The sequence below is a fragment of the Homo sapiens genome, chromosome 2 (assembly GCF_000001405.40).
Source record: "Homo sapiens chromosome 2, GRCh38.p14 Primary Assembly".
In the NCBI taxonomy this organism is placed as follows: Eukaryota; Metazoa; Chordata; class Mammalia; order Primates; family Hominidae; genus Homo; species Homo sapiens.
In genome coordinates, this window is record NC_000002.12 from 64,622,313 (window position 1) to 64,630,745 (window position 8,433).

General features: G+C 53.0%; 2 annotated features.

The window, feature by feature from the left end:
• Positions 3,135 to 3,194: an enhancer, noted in NCBI's record as "active region_15896". NCBI's record gives its function as "activates an Ori minimal core promoter by ATAC-STARR-seq in GM12878 lymphoblastoid cells {active_cell/tissue: GM12878}" and the evidence as "EXISTENCE:reporter gene assay evidence [ECO:0000049][PMID:35858748]".
• Positions 3,898 to 4,037: an enhancer, noted in NCBI's record as "active region_15897". NCBI's record gives its function as "activates an Ori minimal core promoter by ATAC-STARR-seq in GM12878 lymphoblastoid cells {active_cell/tissue: GM12878}" and the evidence as "EXISTENCE:reporter gene assay evidence [ECO:0000049][PMID:35858748]".

Sequence of the window (8,433 nt, forward strand, 5' to 3'; positions counted from 1 at the left end):
GTAAACCTAAAGATGCTCTTTCTTAAAAGCCTATTAATAAACATTTAAAAAATAATTAAAAAAAAAACTGCTGCCTAGTTCCATCTCCTTCAGGGCAAAGCGAGGCAACCCCTCTCCCTCAGCACCAGCTGCCAGCAAACTCTCCCTTCTCCCCAGCCAAAGGCCTGGAATGCTCATGAGGGAGCCCAAAGCACCACTTGGGGCCAGGCGAGAGCACAACATTTCTTCAGCTGGGAAAGGGAAAAATCTCTCCCAACACTAGCACACAAATCATCTCAATCCATGACCTGGCCTGGGATGATGTTGCCAGACCTTCTCCCTGCAGGGGTGCCATCCGTACTCCACATCCCCTTCCTGCCCTCCCAACCCTCTCCAGTGTCCCTGGGTGGGATGCCAGATTAGTGCACTGCCCAGGGACAGCTGTGGCGCCCCAGCCTCAGGGGAGTGGAGGGGGGAGCGCTAGATGCTTCTCCTCCCTGCAGGTTGCCTGTGCCTTGGCTCGGGACAGGATAGGGCAAGGAGGTCAGGCCACTGATCCCAGGGCAGACAGGGGAGCCCTGAAGAGCTGTGGGACAGCAAGCAGGAGGCCACCCTCCAGTGAGGGGTAGCGATGATGGCAGTGCCTACCTAGCTGGGCTGTAATGAAGATTAAACAAGATAATTCACAGAAAACCCTCAGCATAGGGCAGACACAGGAAGCGGTCAGGAAGTATCCACCATGACTATTCCCGCTCATCAGCCCCACGCCTGTCCTCCTGCTGGGGAACAAGGCTGTAGATGACGCAGAGGCCAGGCACCGGATCTGCTGTGTCGGTCCTGGAGCCCCAGCATGTAACGGGATCTTGCATTTCCTCAGCAGGCAGTACTGAGGGTCTGCCCTGTGCCAGGCTAGGGAAAGAGCCACACACATACACACACATTCCAGCCCTCCCAGACTCTGCAATTCAGTGAGGGAGACACGATCATCAAATAAACACGGAGAGGTGTACTGCGAGGAAGTGATGCGTGCTGTGAAGAAAAAGAAGGCGAGGAAAGGGCTACTGAGTGACAGGCTGCTACCTTAGGCAGGGCGGTCGGGAAAGGCCTGGGAGGCAGCCTGGGAGAAGGGAGAGGGTGCCAGGCAGAAGGAACAGTGTGTGCAAAGGCCAAGAGGCAAGAACGTGCTAAGTGTGCTTGAGGAACAGCAAGAAGATTGGTGGGGCTGGAACAAAGAGTAGGGGAGAGGGGAGCGGTGGGATTGGACGAGCAGCTGAGGCCACAGAGGCCAGGAGAAGAACTTTGGATTTTACTCCAAAAAAGCCCATGGAGTGCTTGGAACACAGAGGGAGCATAACCTGATGCTGGGCCAGCACCGCCAGACACGCAGAGCTTGTTAAACACACAGGCTCTTGGTCCCCTCCCAGACCTGCTGATTAGACTCTGCATCCTCACAAATCCCCAGGTGCTCCTATTTGGAAGCACACAGCTAACTCATTTTTTTTTCTTTTTTTCCTTGAGGTGGAGTCTCGCTCTGTGGCCCAGGATGGAGAGCAGTGGCATGATCTCGGCTTACTGCAACCTCTGCCTCCTGGGTTCAAGCTATTCTCCTGCCTCAGCCTCCCGAGTAGCTGGGATTACAGGCGCTCTCCACCATGCCTGGCTAATTTTTGTATCTTTAGTAGAGACAGGGTTTCACCATGTTGGCCAGGCTGGTCTCGAACTCCTCACCTCAAGCGATCCACCTGCCTCAGCCTCCCAAAGTGCTGGGATTACAGGAGTGATCCAGCGCGCCTGGCCGGCTAACTCATTTTCTAAAGGATCACTCTGGGTGCTGTCTTGAGAACAGACATCCAAACGACGATGGGAGCAGGGAGGCCAGTGCAGAGGCTGTGGTGATCATCCTGGTGAGAGGTGACTGGCAGTGGGGATGGTGAGATGCCAGTGGATCCTGCATCTATTCAGAAGGCAGAATAAACCAGGATTGCTGATGGGGTGTGTGTGGGTGGGAAAGGGGAAAGGCAAGAATGGCTCCAAGGGCGTTATGAGTTAGGTAAGTGGTAGTGCATCTGCTGTGATGGGCGCAGCGGCAAATGAGCTAATGGGCCACAGGGCTCCTGACCCACAGCCTCCCCAGCCAGTCTTCCTGAGGCTACCGGCCATCAGACAAGTTCTTTCTATCCTCTGGCCTGTTTTGACCCATGGGGATAGGCCTCAGTGAGTGTGAGTGAGCCCTTTTCTCTTCCAAAGATCCTCTCTTAACCATCTTGTCTTCCCTGTAGCCAAGCTGAGGGGCCTGGCAGGCCACAGTAGCAGACTACTAGGGTTTGGGGACCAGAGAGTATTCCTGGTTCCTGATTCCCCTCTGGGCCAGCCTTGAGAAAGCCAGGGATCATGTCTAAGCCTTCTGCATAGTGGCATCTCCACGATAACCCACAGTGAGGCCCGGGTCCCCAGGACAGCGGGGAAATGTGTCCAGCAGGGCAGAGCAGAGTCCCACAGGCACACTCAGACCCCAGCTCCCAGGTTCCAGCTGCCTTGCACAATTTGCCTAACCTTTCAGGGCCTTAGTTTCCCTTTTTGGATCTGTGAAAGGGAGACCAGAGAAGGCCCTGCCCAGAGCCCACACTTTCTGTAAAGGCAAAGAGCTTTCCACCGGTGGTCTCCCCGGCCCCATCTCCCTGAGCACAGGCTCGCAGCCTTCACTTGGGGCCCCAAGCAGCCCCTGCCCATGCCACACAGTCTGTTTACAGACCACTTAGAACAAATGACTGAAGACTCTGCTGCCTTTCAGCTGGGCAGAGGGGACAGTGGAAGTGCAGTGGAGGGCGCCTATAATCCCAGCGACTCAGGAGGCTGAGGCAGGAGGAATGCTTGAGTTCAGCAGGTCAAGATCAGACTGGGCAATGCGGTGAGACCCCCTCTCTTTAAAAAAAAAAAAAAAACAAAAAAAAAAAACAGACTCTGTTGTCCACCCCTGCTGGTACCACCGGCTTCCATCCTCCTCCCAGGCAGTGGACGCCTCCTCAGAGCCCACCTTCCCCAGGGCCCAGCACCCCACTGGTTCAGCCAGCCCAGGCAGCCTCTCTGCCTAGAATCTCCTTCCATGCCTGCAGCACACGGTCCAATCAGAGCTTCTTGGGCAACTCAGAAAACAGAGATAGAAAACTTCTAACCCCAATGACCTCATAGCCTGCAAGCTAGGCAGCCCCAAATGGGGAAGCCAGGTACTCGGGGCAGTACTGAGGCCCTGGACACCCCCCTCCATCCCAAAGGGTCCTGGGGCCCTCTTGTGGTGACTCTGAGGACCCCAGACCTCAATGAACCTGAGCCCTGGAGCTACCCAACCCCACCAGACCTGCCTCAAAGCCCAGAAGTTGGAGCCCAGCACGTCAGACCCAGAAAACCCAGACCTCAAGAGGGCAGGGGGCTGGCCGTGTTATCCAGGTCCCAAGGTCAGACTCAGCTGCTCTGCCACAGCAAAGCTTGCTTTCAAGTAATAATGCAGAAGAGAGACAGAGACAGACACTGCAAGGGAGAGGATGGGAGTAAGAGCCAGAGACACAGAGTCAGAGATGGAGGGCAGGAGCGGGAGAGAGACTGGGAGACAGGGAGAGAGGAAGGAGAGAGAGGATGGGGCGGTTGTGGGGAGACAGCATGTATGCCAGTGAGCATGGGGGCCCTAGAATTTCTGCATTGGCAAGGCTTAGAGGCAGAGTCTGGTTGGAAGGGGACCCAGGGTTTGTCTCAAAGCTGTATTAATGCAAGTGCTGGCTGGGTGCTGTGGTTCATGCCTGTAGTCCTAGCACTTTGGGAGGCTGAGGTGGGAGGATGGCTGAGGTCAGGAGTTAGAGGCTATAGTGAGCTATGATCGTGCCATTAGGTGACAGAATGAGACCCTGTCTCAAAAACAAAAACAAAAACAAAAAAAAAGCAGAAGAAACACAGGAAGTGCCTAACTCTGTCTTAGGTGGAATGTTTGAGGAAGACAGTGGCCACCTGTAGCTGCATCACTTCTTCCCCTCCACTATGGCTGAGTGTGTGTGTGTTTGGGGCAGCGGGAGGAGAGGTGGTATCAGGGACAGAAAGGACAGAATCAAAGCTCAGAATGGTTTCAGTTCCCACCCTGCCCCTGTTACAAAGCCCCAACAGAATATGTGGCTTCTGGCTCCATGGCTCACTTATAGACCTTGATTTTTTCGTAAATTTCTGGCTGTTTTTTCTAAGCCCGAAAGCCGCCACCTGAGGGTGATAAAGGGAGGGGCCTGGGTCTGGGACCTGCTCTTCTGTCTGTGCCACTTCTGTACTCAGTGGCCCATGCCCTCTGCTCCTCAGTGTCCCCACGTCTGCAGAGCCTCCCTCCCCTGCCACCTCCTCCAGAACTGCCATGAGAATCAAAGAAAGCAAATGGGCCAGGCACGGTGGCTCAAGCCTGTAATCCTAGCACTTTGGGAGGCTGAGTTGGGCGGATCACGAGGTCAAGAGTTCAAGACCAGCCTGGCCAACATGGTAAAACCCCGTCTCTACTAAAAATACAAAAATTAGCTGGGCATGGTGGTACATGCCTGTAATCTCAGCTACTCAGGAGGCTGAGGCAGGAGAATTGCTTGAACCAGGACCCGGGAGGCGGAGGTTGCAGTGAACCAAGATCACACCACTGCACTCCAGCCTGGGTTACAGAGCGAGACTTCGTCTCAAAAAAAAAAAAAGCAAATGTGTGTGAGGCGCTCAGACGCCATGAAGCTACCCACAAACGTCAGGCCCCTCAGCTCCACGGGAGCCTCTCCAGGCCCAGGGAGTGCATTCCACTCAGAGCATGGGCTGGACTGACAGGAGCAGCCTCTTTCAAACGCACTTGGCCACCTGGCACTACTTGCAGGCCATCAGCTGGGAAGTAAGTGACCATAAATCTTTTTCTAGAGGAGGCCTGACTCCCTACATTGACCCACGAAAACACGGCCACACACTTCCACCCATCATCACGTCCCGAGAAGACAAATGAAAAAGAAGTCTGTGAGGCCCTAAGGAAGGAGGGGACAGACCCCGCACAAGCGATGTGTTTGTCCCTGACTCCTCCTGGGCACGCAGGCCAGCGCCCCAGGGAAGCCGGTGTCAGGGACATTTCCCCAGCTCACCCCACCCTCCCCCTTCCGCCTCCAGCCTCTCTCCAGGAGGGTGCTGTGCTCTGCAGCCATTTCTTGTCACTGCTGAACAATAGGCCTTGCTAGCAGCTGGCAGCTTAGCTGCCCTGCCTGAGAGGGGAGGGAGGGAGGGAGGCCGCCTGGCGGGCTGTGGGGCTGGGGCAGCCAGCCTGCTGTGGTGGGGTTTCCCAGTTCCAGTTCCAAGGACAATGCGGGCATGTGTGTCTCCAGGATCATGTACACGGCCGCACTATCCAGAAGCCTCGAAGGCTGGCACCATAGAACAGCGCTCGCCTCCCACCCGAGAGCTTTTGTAAAATCCTCGAGGCCTGGATGGCATGTCCAGGGATGCTGGCGGAGACCTCCATGCTTCCAATGTGCTGTAGGGAGAAGCATAGTCCAGAGCTTGCAGAAGGCATGTATGTCTTGCTTCTGTCTTTTGCTCCTGAGTCCCAGAGAGGGGAAGTGACTGGCCCAAGGTCACACAGAGCCAGGACAAGAGAACTGACGGGGCATTCAGCCCTGGAGAGCTATCCTAACTCCTGGTCTACTGCTGGCCCCAGTAGGAGATCTTCCTCCTCTTGTTCCTCAGGGCAATGCTGTGCACGTGCCAGGAGAAATCCACACCCCATGAAGAAGAGAGGTCCAAGGTTCAGGGAAGTTATAGAGGTAACGATCGGATTCGAACACCTTGCTCAGCTTCGAGGCTGAAGACAAGACATGTGCTGGAAGGTGTTCTAAGAGTCAGAGAGGCCCAATCCCAGCTCTACCCACTTGCCAGCTGTGTGACCTTTGGCAAGCTGCTTAACCTCTCTGAGCCGGCTGCCACTTCTGTAAAGTGGGGGTAGTAAGATAAAGCTCAAAGTGCTGGAAAGAGTTCATGAGCTCACACACACCAGTATATAGCAGTGTCTGGCACATGTGAGTGCTCAGTAAGTGGTAACCCTGGAAACTATTACTCCTGATTCAGTCAAATATTCCTCTCCAAGGGGAACAAAAGGGCATTAAAACGAAGATGGAAGAGGCAATAGAGATTCTGGGACCACATATTGCCATGCAAGCACAGAGCACAGTGTTCTCTGTAAGTGGCCGACCACCACAACATGCAAGGTATTAGGAAATCTTGGTTCTGCCCAGCAAACATGCCTCCAGCATTAAGATACCCCAGTTGTGCTTTGAGGCTTAACCTAAAACACCGCGCTGAGAGTGGAGAGCTGGATTTTAGCCTTGTCTGCCATCATGTTAGCTGTACTGACATTTGTGGACTTTCCAGTGCCCTAGAAATGCTCGAGCGTGCTTCACATTGACTCATTTGATCCCCACCATGCCCTGAGACAAGCTCAATTATTTCCCCCGTTTTATAGCTAAGAAAGCTGAGGCACAGAGAGGCTCAGGAACTTGCCCAAGATTGTAGGTGCCAGGATTCAAGCTTGGGAGATCTGGTAGCAGAGCCAAACTGAACTCTGATGCTATAAACTATTTTGCCCCAGACAATAATCCTTTTCCCTCTCTGGGCCTCAGTTTGCACATCTGTCAAAAAGGCCCCTTTGGTGGGAAGATCTAGCTCTATGGCCCCTCCCAAGTCTTAAGCTCTCTGAATATGTCCACTCTTGTGTAACTTTCCAGACTACTCTGCCCCGTCTGGCCCTCGAAACCCCACCTCCAGCATTCTGCACCCTTAGGACTCCCCTGACGCCTGTACCGTATTCATCTTTCCAGGGGTGTGTGTCCCCAGTCTATGTAGCCCTGAGCCTATCCCATCTATGGTCAGACGCTGTTCTCAGTATTGGGAGAGTTGCAAAGATCAGGATTTGGCAAACTTTTTCTGTAAAGGGCCAAATAGCAAATAGTTCAGACTTTGAGGGCCATGTGGTCTTTTTGCAACTACTCAACTCTGCCATCGTAGTAAGACAGCAGACAGGGCAACACACAGATACACGAGCGTGGCCAGGTTCCAGCAATGCTTTTCTTACAAAAGCAGGCAGTGGACAGGATCTGGCCTGTAAGCTGCAGTTTGCCAACCTCTGTCAAAGATAAACAACACAGGGTTGCTGCTCTTAAGGATACAGGGAGTACAGAGACAACAAACTGCACAGCTAATCCGAAGACGCGGCAGGACTTGCTAAGTGCATTTGCGGAGGCATGGAGCTCTGGGAAAGCCCAGAAGAGGAAAAGGCTGGTTTTGACTCCAGGCATGCAGAGGTTTCATGGACAGGCATTTGAGTTTGGCCTTGGAATGATGGGCAGAATTTCCACAAGCAGAAGGGGCAGGTGCAAGCAAGGACACGTGGAGGCAGGCTGCTGGTGCGTGCTGGCAAAGCAGCACATCCTGAGGGCGAGTGTGGTGTGAACCCAGGACCCAGACAAGAAAGATGTTGAGTGCTGGGCTTCTCTCATTCTATAAAGAAAGATGAACTACAAGATTGTTTTTTCTTCTTTTCATTCAACAAACATTTTGAGTGCCTACCATATGCTGGGCACAGCTCTAGGCATGAGGACAGATACGACATTCATAATTTGCATTTTCATTGTACTGTCAACATTTTCAAAGAGCTCTGGGAGCCACGCTTTATCTCATCCTCATAAATACAGAGATTGAATGATTTGCCAAAGTTTTATCATTAATTAATAGCAGAAGCTCCTAATTCCAGATACAAACCACTCTACTGAACAACGGACCCTCCGTCCTAGTTGCCTGGTGCTTATCTCCGCCGGGTGTCTGGAAAGTGCTCGCCCTGTTCTTCTACCCCTGCATCAGTGTGCTAGGGCTGCTGAAACAAAGTGTCCCAGACTGGGTGGCTGGAACAACAGAAATTTATTTTTCTAGAGCTAGAAGTCCAGGATTGAGGTGCTAGCAGGCTTGGTTGCTTTGAGGGCCGTAAGAAAGTGTCTGTCCCATGCCTCTCTCCTGCCTTCTGGTGGTTTGCTGGTATCTTTGGCACTCCTTGGTTTGTAGATCCACCGCCCCAGTCTCTGCCTTCACTGTCACATGGCCTTCTCCATGTATGCATGTATGTGTTCAAATATCTTTTTATAAGGACATTAGCCACTGAATTAGGGCCCACACTAATAACCTCATTTTAACCTAATTACCTCTATAAAGACCCCACTTCCAAATTAAAGTCACATTCTGAGGTACTGAAACCTACCTTTTTGGGGGAAACAATTCAGCCCCTAACACCTCCCCAGCACTTCACACCCCACCTCACATTCCACTGCTGATTGAGCTGAACCTTCACTTCCCAGGTCTCACACATCCATCCCTTTTCCCTTGCCAGTGGTGTGGTGGCCCAACCACACCAAAATAAAAAACTGC